Source organism: Homo sapiens, chromosome 1 (genome assembly GCF_000001405.40).
Source record: "Homo sapiens chromosome 1, GRCh38.p14 Primary Assembly".
Lineage (NCBI taxonomy): Eukaryota > Metazoa > Chordata > Mammalia > Primates > Hominidae > Homo > Homo sapiens.
This window is the reverse complement of record NC_000001.11, coordinates 111,210,697-111,226,015: the sequence shown is the minus strand read 5'-3', so window position 1 is coordinate 111,226,015 and position 15,319 is coordinate 111,210,697. Positions and strand designations below refer to the sequence as shown.

At 43.5% G+C, this 15,319-nt stretch overlaps 9 annotated features.

The window, feature by feature from the left end:
* Positions 2,678 to 2,767: an enhancer, noted in NCBI's record as "active region_1491". NCBI's record gives its function as "activates an Ori minimal core promoter by ATAC-STARR-seq in GM12878 lymphoblastoid cells {active_cell/tissue: GM12878}" and the evidence as "EXISTENCE:reporter gene assay evidence [ECO:0000049][PMID:35858748]".
* Positions 4,159 to 4,208: an enhancer, noted in NCBI's record as "active region_1490". NCBI's record gives its function as "activates an Ori minimal core promoter by ATAC-STARR-seq in GM12878 lymphoblastoid cells {active_cell/tissue: GM12878}" and the evidence as "EXISTENCE:reporter gene assay evidence [ECO:0000049][PMID:35858748]".
* Positions 4,619 to 4,918: an enhancer, noted in NCBI's record as "active region_1489". NCBI's record gives its function as "activates an Ori minimal core promoter by ATAC-STARR-seq in GM12878 lymphoblastoid cells {active_cell/tissue: GM12878}" and the evidence as "EXISTENCE:reporter gene assay evidence [ECO:0000049][PMID:35858748]".
* Positions 5,699 to 5,758: an enhancer, noted in NCBI's record as "active region_1488". NCBI's record gives its function as "activates an Ori minimal core promoter by ATAC-STARR-seq in GM12878 lymphoblastoid cells {active_cell/tissue: GM12878}" and the evidence as "EXISTENCE:reporter gene assay evidence [ECO:0000049][PMID:35858748]".
* Positions 6,379 to 6,498: an enhancer, noted in NCBI's record as "active region_1487". NCBI's record gives its function as "activates an Ori minimal core promoter by ATAC-STARR-seq in GM12878 lymphoblastoid cells {active_cell/tissue: GM12878}" and the evidence as "EXISTENCE:reporter gene assay evidence [ECO:0000049][PMID:35858748]".
* Positions 9,791 to 10,160: an enhancer, noted in NCBI's record as "active region_1486". NCBI's record gives its function as "activates an Ori minimal core promoter by ATAC-STARR-seq in GM12878 lymphoblastoid cells {active_cell/tissue: GM12878}" and the evidence as "EXISTENCE:reporter gene assay evidence [ECO:0000049][PMID:35858748]".
* Positions 10,855 to 12,054: an enhancer, noted in NCBI's record as "MED14-independent group 3 enhancer chr1:111756584-111757783 (GRCh37/hg19 assembly coordinates)". NCBI's record gives its function as "activates an origin of replication core promoter dependent on BRD2, BRD4, P300/CBP and CDK7 cofactors, and independent of MED14, by STARR-seq in HCT116 cells {active_cell/tissue: HCT116}" and the evidence as "EXISTENCE:reporter gene assay evidence [ECO:0000049][PMID:35650434]".
* Positions 11,144 to 11,955: an enhancer, noted in NCBI's record as "H3K27ac hESC enhancer chr1:111756683-111757494 (GRCh37/hg19 assembly coordinates)". NCBI's record gives its function as "activates a minimal SCP1, AML or CMV promoter by ChIP-STARR-seq in naive H9 embryonic stem cells {active_cell/tissue: H9 hESC(naive)}" and the evidence as "EXISTENCE:reporter gene assay evidence [ECO:0000049][PMID:30033119]".
* Positions 11,180 to 11,519: an enhancer, noted in NCBI's record as "active region_1485". NCBI's record gives its function as "activates an Ori minimal core promoter by ATAC-STARR-seq in GM12878 lymphoblastoid cells {active_cell/tissue: GM12878}" and the evidence as "EXISTENCE:reporter gene assay evidence [ECO:0000049][PMID:35858748]".

The following is a 15,319-nucleotide window of genomic DNA, read 5'->3' as shown; positions in this document are numbered from 1 at the left end:
CTTCTTTCAGATTTAAAATGAGGTTTAAAAAAGCACTCATGGTCCAGCCTGGGTGACAGAGCGAGACTCCATCTAAAAAAAAAAAAGAAAAAAGAAAAAGAAAGCACTCATGGTATTCTTTGTTAGTTTGAACTGAGATCTTTTCATCTTTTGGTAGGTATTTCCTGCCCTGCTGAAGAAGGTAAATGTAGCATTTCACAGTGTGCCTGTGCATTCGCTCTCGCTGGCATTGCTTTGCAGTTGTCTATCTCCGTACTTCAATCAGATGACCAGATTGGCACTGAGAGTACAGTAAAGAAAGGCATTAATGTTTTATCTCTGCTTTCCTGACATTACGCCTTATTATGTTGGTGGATGGAGAGATGTATCTTTTTTCTCCTGACATTTTAATTCTAGAAAATGATAAACTTGTCCCCAGGACTAAAAGAGAAAGCTTAGTCAATCAGATTTTGACTTTCGTGGTCAAGGTCATGGCAATTATTTGCAGATTTTTTTCTTAAACAAGTTTCCTTCCAGGCTTAAGCTGTGGATTCTCTCCTAAGCAAGGTCTTCATCTGCTCCAGTGCCTATTCCAACTGAGAACCTAACTTGGAGACATTCCTTACTAGACTCCTAATCTTTCAAAGTCACAAGAGACATTAGTATGTTCTAAACTCAAACCCCACCATGGAAGAGGAAGATAATGTGGGTGTGGGGGTTGGAGCCCAAGGAGGAAAAATGGCTTTCAATCCTTCAGCATCTGACAAATACAGCAAACACTTATGGAAAATCTACACCTTGTAAAGAACTGATAAGAGCTTATAGAGTCCCTATTTGATCTGCCTCAAGAAACTTGTACTCTACTTGGGAAGGCAAATGTATAAATACAGGTAAATATAACATTAGGGGGAATGAAGTATGTGCTAAATAAAGCATCCACCCTTAAAATGTATAAAAGAAAAGTAATTTAAAAAATTAATGGAGTGTTTACTCTGTCAGTCACTGCAAAAATGTAATTTATACAGTAAACCAAATATGAACCAAATATAATTTGATTTCAGCTTTCTATTGACTTATGTTTTTAGTGGGAGAGACAAACATGTAAACAAATTATTCCTTTTTTCCTCAAACTTGAAATTTAAAAAATTGGGCTGGCCACAGGGGCTCACGCCTGTAATCCCAGCACTTTGGGAGGCCGAAGTGGGCGGATCACCTAAGGTCGGGAGTTCGAGACCATCTTGACCAACATGGAAAAACCCCGTCTCTACCAAAAATACAAAAAATTAGCCAGGCATGGTGGCACATGCCTGTAATCCCAGCTACTTGGGAGGCTGAGGCAGGAGAATTGCTTGAACCTAGGAGGCGGAGGTTGCAGTGAGCCGAGATCGCATCATTGCACTCCAGCCTAGACAGCAAGAGCGAAACTCTGTCTCAAAAAGAAATTTAAAAAATTTAATTGTAGCAAGTTTACATTGTAGCAAAACCCTAAGAATATTAAAATATATAAAGCAGAAAATGAAAGTACCTATTCATTCTCTAAAGAAACTACTGTTAACAATTTTGGTATACATCATCCCTAACTCCCTTCTCTCTCTCTCTCTCCTCTTTCTTGACACACACATACACACACATACACTCTCTCTCTCTTTTTCTCCCCTACCCTCAACAATTTATGGCAAAGCATCCTTTCACATAATCAAAATAGAGAATATCAATTTATATGCAATTTTAAATTACTACATCCCCCATTGATGGACATTTCAGTTATTTTCAAATTTCACAGTCACAGATAATTCTGCAATGAGATGATTTTGTATAAAAGACATCCACACACTATTTTTATGCTACTTTTCAAATTGTGCTTTAACGTGTACTCCTTCCAACTACGTATGAGGCATGCTTATTACCCCCATTCTAGTAAACAATAAATAATGGGTATTATCAGTCTATCTTTTATATTAAAATTATGCCTTCTTATTTTAATTTATGTTAAAACTAAAGGTTGGGCAACTTTTTAATGTATATATTTATTGGCCAATACTTTTTCTCCTTCTCTGAGTTGCCTGGCCGTTTCTATTGGATTCTCCATCTCTTTGGTATGGCTTTTTAGGAATTCTCTCTGTATTATAGAAATTAATCCATTATCATATTTATTGTATTTTTTCATTTTTTACTTCCTATTATGTTTATATTGTTTTCATTACATAATTTTAAAAATATTTTTATGTCTGCCAATCTTCATTTACAGCTTTTGCATCTAGCTCAGGAAAGAGATATGTAAGAGGCAGGATAAAGGAGCAGAGAATTAAACACAAACACCACAGTGGTACAGAAAGAATGGAGGACTGCAGAGAATAGAAGGGCCACACTGCCCTGGTAGGGACCCGGCTGGCTTCCTCCTGAAAGCAAGCTTTGAGAAGGGATTAGAAGGAGGATCTGGGCATTGCCAGGAGGAGAAGAATAGGAAACACACAAGGAGACCAGTCTTAGTGAAGTCTCAGAGTTGGACTCCGTAACTCTATGGCAGACGTGGGAACAAGGGTGACTTAATGAAAGTGTAGGTGTGTCATGGGAACCGAGATCACCAGCGGGGTGGAAGCATGAAGATGTCCATTTCTTGGCATATAAGGCCAGATTTAAATGCCACTTTCGATTCACCTTGATTTACAGGGGTCTGTGAAGGCAGGATCTAGCTCTGTTCCAAACCCCAGGGAGAACTTGAATCCCTAAAGATAGGAAAAACTATACTTATTAACCCAAGGTTAGGTTAAAAATATGCTTTGGGGATTTGCTTGAGGAGAAATTCAGAACCCAGTTCTGCCACAGGGAGGAAATAACAATGAAGGTTGGCCTTCTATTAGTCAGTGATGAGGCAGAGGCACTGTCACCTTCCAGATACAAGCCTGTGTCCAGGGCCTGCAGCACTTCTGACCCACCCCAAACCTGGACTCCCGAGGGAGCCTCCGCAGGAGAGGCATGGGGAAGGGGCGCCCTCTCGTGGTTGTTGGTAGGCAGCTCAACACCTAGTTGGCGCTGGGCAGGTGTCCTGGGAAGATCCTACCTCCCCCAGCTTCTCAGTCTCCTCTTGGCCCCGGGATTGTCTCAGAAAGGTTGGAAGGATGAGTGGGGACAGAGGGATGATGTCATAACCTTGTTCACTGCAGAAATAAGTATGACCCAAAAAAGAGAATGCAGAGGGAGAACACCAGGGAAGATCAAAGGGAAAAATGAAAATAAAAATAAAGGAAGGAGAAATGCTCTGTTCTAAATACAGCAAAGTGGATTTTTCTTGTTTGCCCTAACATGCTTGCATTCCTGAGGCTTGGCACTGTCCCATCTTGCTTTCTGGGGCCGGATTCAGGCCTAAAACTGGTGTAACAGAAAGGGACTTCTTTAATGTGCTTCAAGGCTGAGGAAGAGCCAGGCTCTTTTAGCATATCTCAGCATGGGACACATGGACCACACTTGCTCAGTGTGGCCATCAATAAGGGAGGACACTGGAGGGAGGTTTAAAGAGGCCAAGTGTCCACTGGGACGGGGCGTGGGGGAGAAGAGGTAGCAGGTTCAGAGAGAGGTATGTGCTCCCTGGGGAGAGCAGTGGGTCTGTGAGGCACCCAGAGAGCCTAAATAGAAAGACCTGGGCCCAGTGCAGAACCAGGGAGGAAGAAAACGAACTGCAGCAGCCACCTCAATACTCACCTTACCTGAGACCCTTTATGTGTGAGATGTTATGATCCATCCCAAACTACAAATCTCCTGTACATTCTTCTGGACTTTGTGTGCATGTGACTGGACTGTTACGAAATTGTTTGATAATGGACTGTAAATCTTATTTCTTCCACTAAGTGGAACATAAGATCAAGACTCTTTCTTGCTACCCACCACATCTTTAGGACCTGTGCTTCAAACAAAATAAGACCGCAGTAAGTCACTGTTAGGTGAAAAAGTATAAGAATAAATGAATGAATCACTCATCTGTACACTTCCAGTTTCCCCCACACACAGCAGGTCGATCACTGGTAGTCCATTGCTGATAAGTGAAAGAGTGACCTCTTGGGAGCCCAGCTTTTGTGGTTGCTAGGTTGGCTATGAGTTGGAAGATGTCGCATAAATGTTTGCCTGCATTGAACCACTGGTGGGAACTTTGCTCAAATGCAGGATGTGGTCTGAGAGTTTCTCCTCTTCCTATTTTTGAGGGTGGGGGATGGGCATTGAAAGTGCCTCGGATTTGCTGGTAGGGTCTGAGCAGTGCTGCCAGATCTGCAGAACTGAGAGCTGGGGAGGGAGGAGAAGAAAGAGGAGATAAGCAGGAGCCAGCAATGAGAATGAAGCTGCTCACAGGGATTCATGCTGTAGAAGACAGGCCAGGACCCTGGAGGGCATCTGAGATCATCACTCATTGCCCTCAGGCCTGCCCCAACTCTCATAAGACAGAGGCAAAGGGCTTTATAAAGTGGGGATAATGAGATTACCTCCCTGGGAGGTTGTTTGAGGGAATGAAACGTGATAATGCAAGTGAAGGACTTAGCTTAGTACCTGGCTCAGAGTGTACACTCAATAAACATAATCTGATCTCATGTCCCAGTAATTCATCTTCATTTCAACTTTCTGTCACATTGATAAAGAAGGGAGATTGGCCATGTGCAGCGGCTCATGGCTGTAATCCCAGCACTTTGGCAGGCTGAAGTGGGTGGATCACTTGAGGCCAGGAGTTCAAGACCAGCCTAGCCAACATGGTGAAACCTCAGCTCTACTAAAAATACAAAAATTAGCTGGGCATAGAGGGTGCCTGTAAACTCAGCTATTCAGGAGGCTGAAGCATGAGAATCACTTGAACTCAGGAGGCAGAGACTGCAGTGAGCCAAGACTGTGCAATTGCACTCCAGCCTGGACAACAGAGCAAGACTCTATCTCAAAAAAAAAAAAAAAAAAAAAAGAAGGGAGGTAAAAAGTGTTGAGAAGCTGAAGCCTGTGGTATCAGGGTGACTCTTCTGTGGAGTCATCATCCCCTGCCTGACCTGACCTTTCCCTGTCTGCAGGGAAAGTGGACTGGACTGTAGCTGCCAAAGCCCATGGTCACGGCCATTCCCTGTGTCACGAGTTGGGCCCCCTAGAAGCAGGTGTGGAATTGAAGTGTGGGCACAAGCTGTTAATTAGAAATTATCTGTTGTGAAAGGAAAGAGGGAGCAAGATTGGGCAGAGGAAGAGGCTGAGTTTGGATGCAGCTCCGACAAAGCTTCAGCCAACCTAGCCATGAGATTCAGAAGAAGTGACGTCCATCAGAGTTGCCTCACTTCAGACTAAAATGCCTGGGTCTTTATACGCCCTCCTCATTCAGCCACAAGTGATGGGCTTCCCTGGTAAGTCATGACCTTGGGCAAAGGGATCCTTTGCCTTATCTGCACCTGAGGCAGACCCTGAAACCACTGGCAGCAGGGTGTTTTCTGCTAACTGAACCCCACAGTGGGCAGCCAGTCTCTAGAATAAGTGCTTCTTGAGAAGACAGGCCTTTTACCTGTGCCTCTTGTGGCCTGGCACACCGAGGCAGATGCTTATTGCTCCAATTATTGATTAAATAATCCAATTTCCTTAAGTGTTGCTGTTCATGGCACGGTTTCACAGACATGGTCTCATATTGCAGGCTGCATGGTGGTGAGAGGGGCTTTGGGCAAATCGGAAGTGGGAGTCAAAGCAGGGACAATCAGAAAGCTCATCCACTGGCTCATGATGGAGCTAGTGGGTCTTGATCTTTCCAAATGATCTGATACACTTGGGATAGAAAACCTCTTTCCACTTTATCTGAATGTGGGTATGGGGAGGGCTTGGAGGGGGCTTGGCTGAAGAAGTCAGCATCCCAAATGCTGGAAGACATAACTGAAGAGGAGGAGACGACTGAGGAGGAGGCAGTGCTCAGAGCAGCTAAGCCAGGGAAGAGATGATGTGGCTTGTGTGTGAAAGCACAGCCCGAGGATGCAAAGCACCAGGCCTCTCCTCCTAGGTCTAACAATAGCTTTGTCTTGGGCAAATTCCTCCTCACCCACCCACCCTGAGTTTCACATCCTCTACCTCCTCTATGCACACTAACTCATCTTCACAGCCTACTAACCAGCATGGAAACTAAAATACTTCACACGTTTAATAAGTATTTGTGGCCTCCTCCAGTAACGACTGAGTAACTCTCACACGGTAAACTAGAATATGATATAAAATATACAGAATGATTGTTTTCATACATTAGGCAACATGCAATGCAGGGCTGTGAAAACAAATGAGGTGAGCCCTCCCACAACTGTGCCTTGTGCAGACTGCAACACAAGGAGGGGGGCCTATGGAGAGCATGCAAGTCCCACTGAGACAAAGAATGGAGTTTGAAGAGGCTGAGAGGCTTGGAAACTTCACAATAGAATGCCAGAGATAAGGGAGCAGTACAGAAAAAGAGCTTCAGAAACCTGCATGGGGTTCTCTCAGATCTGTGGCTGAATACAAAGCTCTCATACAGAGGGTGAGACTACAGCAGAATGGGCAAAAACAACAACAACCAAAAGTACCAAGGAAATAAGCACCACCAGAGATCTGGAAGCTGAACAACCACTAAAGCTTGCACTGGGCTGGGAGACATTTGATAAGACCGGCTAGAGTGGAAAGTCCTTCTTGAGCAGCTGGAAATTTAATAGAAACCTCAGAAGCGTCAAACTTTAGTTAAGGGCCTCACTAGCCCCATGGTAAGGGTGACTCTAGACTTGTTCTAACAAAGTTTAAACACAAGCTTCAAAATGTTCAAGTTGAGCGGGGCACAGTGGCTCACACTTGTAATCCCAGCACCTTGGGAGGCCGAGGTGGGAGGACTGCTGGAGGCCAGGAGTCTGTGACCAGCCTCAGCGGCATAGAGACTCTGTCTTTACAAAAAAAAATTTAAATAATTATTTGGTCATAGTGGCATACACCTGTAGTCCCAGCTACTTGAGAGGCTAAGGCAGGAGGATTGTTTGTGCCCAGGAGGTCGAAGCTACTGTGAGCTATGATCACACCACTGCACGCCAGCCTGGGCAACAGAATAAGACCTTGTCTAAAAAAAAAAAAAAAAGCTCTTGTCAATCTCCAAATAAATTGACTTCCTGGCCACAAAATCTAAACATTCAACAGCAACATAACATTTATAATGTCAAGCATCCAATTAAAAAAAAAATCACTAGATATACCAAAAAACAGGAAATGTGACTTATAACCAGGAGAAAAATGTGTCAATAGAAACAGATCTAGAAATGACAGATATTAATATACAAGACCTTTAAAGCAGCTATTATAAGTATGTTCAAAACCAGGCACGGTGGCTCACACCTGTAATCTCAGCACTTTGGGAGGTCGAGGCAGGCGAATCATTTGAGGTCAGGAGTTTGAGACCAGCCTGGCCAACATGATAAAACCCCAACTCTACTAAAAATACAAAAATTAGCTGGGCATGGTGTCAGGTGCCTGTAGTCCCAGCTACTCAGGAGGCTGAGGCAGGAGAATTGCTTGAACTTGGGAGGCGGAGGTTGCAGTAAGTCAAGATCGCGCCACTGCACTCCAGCCTGGGCAACACAGTGAGACTTCATCTCAAAAAAAAAAAAAGTACATTCGAGGGTTTAAAGGAAAACATGAGTATAATGAAGACAGAAGTAGAAATTATGAAAAATTAAACAAAAAGTGAAGAAAAGCTGAAAAAATATGAGATTTAAAATTTAAAAATTCACTGAGTGAGCTTAATAGATTAGATCCTGCAAAAGAACAAGCAAACTTGAAGACAGTAATAGAAAGTATCTAACCAAAACAAACAAACAAACAAAAAAAAGCAAAACAAATGAAAAAAACAGAGAGGAGCCCAATCAGGTAGGTGCCCCATAGTCCATTTTAAGGACCTTGGCTTCTAATCTGCGTAACAGAGGCACCATTGGAGAGCTTTTATAAGAGAAATGATACCATCTGATTTACATTTTAATGGAATCATTCTGGCTGCCATGTTGAGAAAAGACTGAAGGAAGAAAAGAGTAGACTCAAGTGGCCCATTAAGAGAATGCTGCATTACGAGTGAGAGATGATGGTGGCTTCAGCCAGGTTAATGGCAGTGGGGGTGGTGGGAAGTACTAAATAGTTGAAATCTGGGATACACTTTTGATGGTAGAGCAGACAGGACTTGCTCATGCACTAGATGTGGAATCAAGGCTGACGCAAAGGTGTATATAATGAGCCTTTAACCATTTTTGAGAGGATGCACTATGTACCTATTAGGACTGCATTTAAGTATAAATAACAGGAAACCCAGCTACAGTGACATAAACAAATGAGGGCTTAGCCGTTTCACATAACTGGTAAGACCAAGGCTGGTCAGCTACTCAAAGTTTTCAACTATCCCAGGTTCTTGCTATCTTTCTGCTAAGCCATAGTTTCATAGATTGCTTCTTTGTTCTTTTCCTTGTGCTTCATGGTTCCAAGATTGCTGCAGTATTTCCATGCGTAATGTCAGTATTACAGGAAAGAAGAAATGGCGGAGGAGCAAAAGGGACCCTACCAGTTGAGTCTGTCCTTTTTTGCCCAGAAAGCAAAAGCTTTCCTGGGCACTACATTCAGCAAACTTCCCCTCATAGCTCATTGGGTCACATGACCAATTATAAGAGAATGAAATTACTATGTGTGGTTTAGGTGAATTACAATTCATGCATTATGGTGAGGGTAGGAGGCCTCCTCTCTTTAAAGTCAAAGGATTTCTACCGATACCTAGCAAATAGGGGTTCTATTAGCAGAGAAGAAGGGGCATGTGATAGGAAAGATGTTGGGCTAGTGATGAACAATTTCAACTGTTGATTGCTTTTTTCACTTTTATTGCAAAATACCTGCTGCCCATGTTTGGCAGGTGTATGTAATAAACATGTTTTTATAAGATATCGGCATAATGGCACTATGATTATGGAAGACTTTACAAATAAGCTGATTGAAAGACATGGGAGGGGCATGGAGGGGGCACCATTTCAGATTATACAAATGGCCATAAAAAGCAGTGTTCTGGGGACTCTCGAAGTCCATGTAGAGGATGGTGGACCAGCTTGGTGGTCTTGCTCATTTTAGGTTCTCTGGAGAAACAAGGGAAGTATCGACTGAAAAACTAATACAGTGAGAAAAGAAAATGCACGTGTTTTAAAGCTGGAGGCAGAAGTCCTTTTGGGGGACTCGTGTGTGTGTGTGTGTGTGTGTTAGCAAAACATTTGTGTGGTTGTTTAATTCTGAAAAATTAGTTCCCAGAATCTTGTCTTGAAAGGAAAAAATGAAACAAAGAAAACTAAATTGCTCTGCAAAATAAAGCAAGCAGAATTTTAAGTTTTGGCTGTCAGTGTAAGAGGAAGGATAATGGGATCTTGGGAACTGGGAAGGAAAGGGGAGAAATGAAAATGGATAGGAGAGGAAGTTACATAACCCTTATCACCGGGGTATAGTGCACATTATAGCCTTCCCCATTTTACAGGGAAAAAGTTGAGCAACTTTCAAATGGCAGGGCCAGGATTTACATGCAGCAATTTCTGACTGCATTGCAGGCCTGGCAGGCCTGGTGCTTTTTCTGCACAAAACCTCCCTCAAGTCACCAGGGAGTTCAGATTTGACCTGAGAGGTGGTTAGTTGGTCATTTACGAATTCTCTCATCCCCCACTTCTGTCTACGGAAAGAGTTTAAGGTGAGGGCCCACCTCAGTCATGAACTGTTCCATCAGGTGCTCTGGCAGGAAGTCCCATAATGACCTTGGGGAACCAGACAGTTTCCTCTGGTTGTGGGTGATGGTTCCACCTCTGTCCCCAGAACAAGCTGATAAACAAACTTAGCTCCACCTCCTAGGCCCCGGCCTCCTGCAAACAGGCCTCTGTTGAGAGATTTACTGAGACTTTCCATTTCCTGTGAAGAAGGAGACTAGTATCTGGGCCCTATAGAATAAGTATCAACTTGCATTTGGTTTCCTTTGTGTCACGAGACAGAGAGAGAGAGAGAGAGAGAGAGAGAGAGAGAGAGAGAAGAGCTGGGGAAGAAAGCAAAAGCAAAATGAAGCAGTGATTGCACAGCCCCATTCACCCTGGGAACTTGGTGCCCATGGTTTCTCACGTTCTCTACAACTCTACAACGTGATGGCTGCTCAGACCTCACATCTCTCAGGCATCCCATCGGGTGCTGATTACCACTATATTCTGCTTCCTGTCAGTTGCAAGGACACTAGTGAGCTCTGTTTTACCTTTGGAGTATATGGCAATAATATTAGCTCAAATAATCCAATTATTTAAAGCATTTTTATATCTAAAATATCTGTTGGTGTTTGCAAGTACCCTGCAAATTACGTTGGTTGTGAAAACTCAAAGGGCTGAAACATGTCGATGGAAAAGAGTCAAACTCTGTAAAATATTTGAAGAGATTTATTCTGAGCCAAATATGAGTGACCAATGGCCTGTGACACAGCCCTCAGGAGATCCTGAGAACATGTGTCCAGGGTGATCAGGGCAAAGCCTAGTTTTACACATTTTAGGGAGACATGAGACATCAATCAAATACATGTAAGATGTACTTGGTTTGGTCTGAAAAGGGGGAACAACTTGAAGTGGGGGGATTGCAATGGGGGCTTCCAGGTTATAAGCAGGTTTAAATTTTTCTGATTCACAATTGGTTGAAATAGTTATTATCTAAAGACCTGGAATTAATAGAAAGGAATGTCTGGGTTACAATAAGGGGTTGTGGAAACCGAAGTCTTACCATTCAGATGAAGCTTTCAGGTAGCAGGCTTCAGAAAGAATTGACTGTAACTGTTTCTCATCAAACTTTCAGAGTCTGTTCTGAGAGGGAGGCGTGTACGATGAGGCATGTCCACACTCCACCCCCCATCATGGCCTGAACCAGTCCCTCAGGTAACTCTTGGAATGCCCTTGCTGAGAAAAGGGGTCCATTCAGATGGTCGGCGGCGGCGGGGGTTAGAATTTTATTTTTGGGTTACAGATGGTATGTCCTATGAGCTGAGTTCAGTTTTGTGTGGTTTGATTCCCAGAACCAAGCAGTGTGACGCTCAGGAAATGATAGCTACATAAAGACTTCTTAGAGTAAGATGATAAGTGAACAAAGAAGTGGAGAAAAGATGGAGTAGACTGTGGCTTTTTTTTTTTTTTTTTTTTGACACTTAGGAAAGTCTGATAAGAGCATCTCCTAGTGAGGGAGGAGAAAGGAAGAAACTGGTCAGGCAGGTAGTTAGGGTGGGTTCTCTTTCAAACAAAAGAACAGCCTGAAAAATGAAGCTGCAGGCACAGATAAAGGAATTTGCACAGGGGGGCTTGCCTAAGACATGCCCACAGCCACACAGATAAGAAAGGCTATACAGGTGGCTTGCCCAGACATGCCCACAACGGACAATTCCATCCCCTGACACATGCACAGTAAGGGGAACAAAGCAATACGGAGTAACTCAAGCTAAGGGCCCACATGTGCATTAGAAGAACAAGGTAGAGCTACCAGAAATTCGTACCTATGCAAATGAGATCCCCAGCCCTTATTGGTTTCCTGTAAAAACCTTTGCATTCAACTGTAAAAATGGTAACCCTTTTCTGGGTCCCCTCTCCGCAGCCAAGAGCTTTCTCCTTTCTTTTATTAAACTTTCGCTCCAACTTCACCCTTTGTGCTCACTCTCCCTAATTCTCTTAGTTGTGAGAAAAAGAACTCCAGGTGATAACTCACAGTGAGAGACTGCTACTTTGTGGTGCATTGGTGAGACTGTAACATCAGTGCTGAGGCTGGCCCTCTCCCCTAGTCCGTATGTAATACCAAGAGTGCAAGCTCAACAAGGGAACCAAGTTTGATTGGCTCTGTTCAGCAGAGATCAGTTTGGGGACAGATGTTAATTTAGTACATACAGTTAAATAGACATGTGGGCACCTACACATATATACACTTTGTGCATCTATCTCTTTAAATAAAACATGATGTTACAGTAGGTAGTTACGCAGACATGAGCAGGGCAGGAGTGGGCCCCCAAACCAGGAATGCCAGGTGACCATGAGGTGATGGTCAGGCGGTTGTTGACTATCTCTCTAAAATAATAATTTGTCGCAGCTGGCACCAGGGAAAGGCAATCTCCCAGTAGATAGAAAACATCAAAATTTGGTGATCAGCAGCTTCCCAATAAGATCTCAGGAGTTGGGCGAGTGGGCCCAAGCATGCACGCTAAAAGGCAAAATGGCAGAGTTTAACTGGTATATGACCTTCCTCTAGGAATACTCAACTGGTAAGGGAAGAACGCCTCAAGTGAGCATTTGCACAACTCCAGTAAACACACTGTGCATGCGGCCTCTCGCAAGTACTGGCAGGCCACTGCTCATGCGGACAGCCCACCCTGAAGGAAGAATCAGGGGAGAGGTAATGCAAGACCTCGGAAACATGACAACATATAAAACCCCAAGTCAAAAGTCAAACCATTCACTCTAACCTCTCAAGTCATCCGCTTGGCCCTCTTCCAAGTGTAGTTTACTTCCTTTCATTTCTGCTCTAATACTTTTTAATAAACTTTCACTCCTGCTCTAAAACTTGCTTCAGTCTCTTTCTCTGCCTTATTCCCCTCAGTCAAAATCTTTCTTCTGAGGAGGCAAGAATCGAGGTTGCTGCAGACCTGTACGGATTTGCCACTACTAACAATAAGATGTAAGATGGAATGATATTCTCTGCAGGAGCACAAAGGGAAGGAAAAGAGAGTTGTTTCTGAGACTCAAGTAGGCAACATGGTGAGGGTGATGGCAATCCGCCCCCAACCTCTCCACCTGACCATGTCTCTCTTCCCCCCAGGATCCTGTCCACCATGACCTTCTTTCTTTCTTCCTGCAGTTGTCTTTCGAAGCCTTTCGTCACTTTCTTGGCTTCCCTTAAATGCCATGGTCACTTAGCAGGCAGCCCTTCTGCCTGCTGTGGTTGCTCAGCTGAGCACCTTCCTGGGTTGTGCAGGGGTGAGGGAAGAGGAAAAGAACTGTGGGGGTGTGGGCATCATTCCTTCTTGGAGTTTGTGATTAGGGCAACCAGGACAGGTGGGGGTTGGTGGTGTTAATCAGTCTGTTAACAAGTATGTTCTGATTTCTGAGTTTCAGGATTGAGCTAAGGGCTCACTGTTCTCTGTTGTCTATCTCTGCTCATCAAGCAAAAAAAAAAGGGGGGGGGGGCGGGGGAGAAAATAGAAAAGAGTTATCCATCAGATCTCCTTCTTGTGTTGAAGATAGGGGCTTGGAGAGACATTTCCTGGATTCTGGTCCTGACAGCCACTAACTGGCTGTATAATCACAAGCTTTCACACCCCAGCCAGGGAGGCCAGGGAACGGCAGGCTTCATATTTTCTCAAGGCAGGATTTTCCCATTGTTGAAACTGCTAGGCAGAGTTCCCAGCACTTAGCAGGAACAGTGGTGGGGGCAGGGGCGGGGGGTGGACAGGTGGGCACATGAGTGCCTCTGATACTGTCCCTTCTAACTCGACACTCTAAAATTCCAGATTCTTTCTGTCAATAAATGGCCAGAGAGCAGTGGTTAATAAACACAAAAGGTTCAGAGGAACAGAGTGTAGGACCCAGGTGGGCAATAGAAAGATTTCACTGCAATTCAGTTAAGAAGAAGAGAATTTTAATTCAAATTATTCAATAAAAATTTATAAAAAGACATCTTGGTAAAGTGTTATAAAAGGTTACTGTTCAAAAAAGCCAAAAAGTAATAAAGGATGCACTATATTGCAAGAAAAGGTATATGATTAGGAAGTTGTATTCCTACAAGAAGTGTTCAGTTTATTAACTCATGGCTCATCTAGAATGAACTTGGAACTAATGCTCAGGCCTTGCTTTCCCATCCAGAGTCTCAGACCAAACCCTGATTCTGAAATGTCAGTTACTGTACTCATGTGACTGACCTAGTTTTAAAGTCTCCCTTATCTGGATAAGAAAAATGTGTAGTTCTGGGAAATTGTACAAGCAAGCAGAGAGACAATAAAAAGATAAAAATGGGATCAATACTTTTGGTAAATTGTGTTCATTCAAGGAAATTGATTTGTCCTCATGAGCTGCTTTGACGATGCTCTCTCTGCTTAGCACATTTAGCGGGTGGGTATGTTCGATTTACAAGACTTAGTTATATGCTTACAAAGATTCTGCTTATTAGATTTATAAATCTTATCTGTCAGAAGTTTGAAGTGTTGGAGATAATTTAAATTTCCAATTGTAGGTAGAAATATCTAAGAATCGGCCTGGCGTGGTGGCTCACGCCTGTAATCCCAGCACTTTGGGAGGCCGAGGTGGGCGGATCATGAGGTCAGGAAATCCAGACCATCCTGGTTAACATGGTGAAACCCCGTCTCTACTACAAAAATACAAAAAATTAGCCGGGCGTGGTGGCGGGTGCCTGCAGTCCCAGCAACTCAGGAGGCTGAGGCAGGAGAATGGCGTGAACCCGGGAGGCGGAGCTTGCAGTGAGCCGAGACGCGCCACCGCACTACAACCTGGGCGACTGAGCAAGACTCAGTCTCAAAAAAAAAAAAAAAAAAAAAAAAGAAATGTCTAAGAATCTTTGATGAATTACAAAGCCCTACATGATCTTCTGTCCCCTTCTTTTCTCCTACAGTGGTGAATGGTGTGCTCATTTCCCCAGGACTGAGGTAGACTTTTATATGTCAGCCTTATCTCTAGGGGGTTATTTACATCTCTGAGGACTTCCATGACACCTATTATGATGAACCTCTGGCTTCCATTAAAAAAAAAAAAAATTCCACCACTTTGGGGCATTGTTCAGTGTAGAAAGCAGAGTAGGGCATTTTGGGAGCACTACACAGACCTGAGTGTAGTCTCATAGGATATCTATTTGAGACCATCATGGAAGGCTTGGAGTGCTGGGTCACTTGTCAGCTCCATGGAAGACTCCACGACATGTCCTGGTGGGCTCATCAGGATGCTCCTGGGGATAAAGTTTCCATCTGAGTGTGAATTAAAAGTTCACTTTACCTGCTGTGTGATTTTGGGCAAGTTCCTTAACATCTGTGAGCCTGTTTCTTCATCTATAAATTGGGAATAGTAATAGCTAGCTCAAAAGATTATTGATAATGCTGATTTGAGTTAATATTTGTAAAATACTTAGCATACTGCCTGAAACATATAAAGTGACCAAGCCATGAGAACTATCTGTTCCTCTTAAGTTTATTGTCAAGGAGAACTGGGAACCCCCAAATGCAATCAAAATGTTAGGTCTAGAGTTCAATTCAACAAGCATGCATTGACCATCTGCTAATGTAGTCATCATGCTGGGAATTCATTCATTCATTTGTTCAACA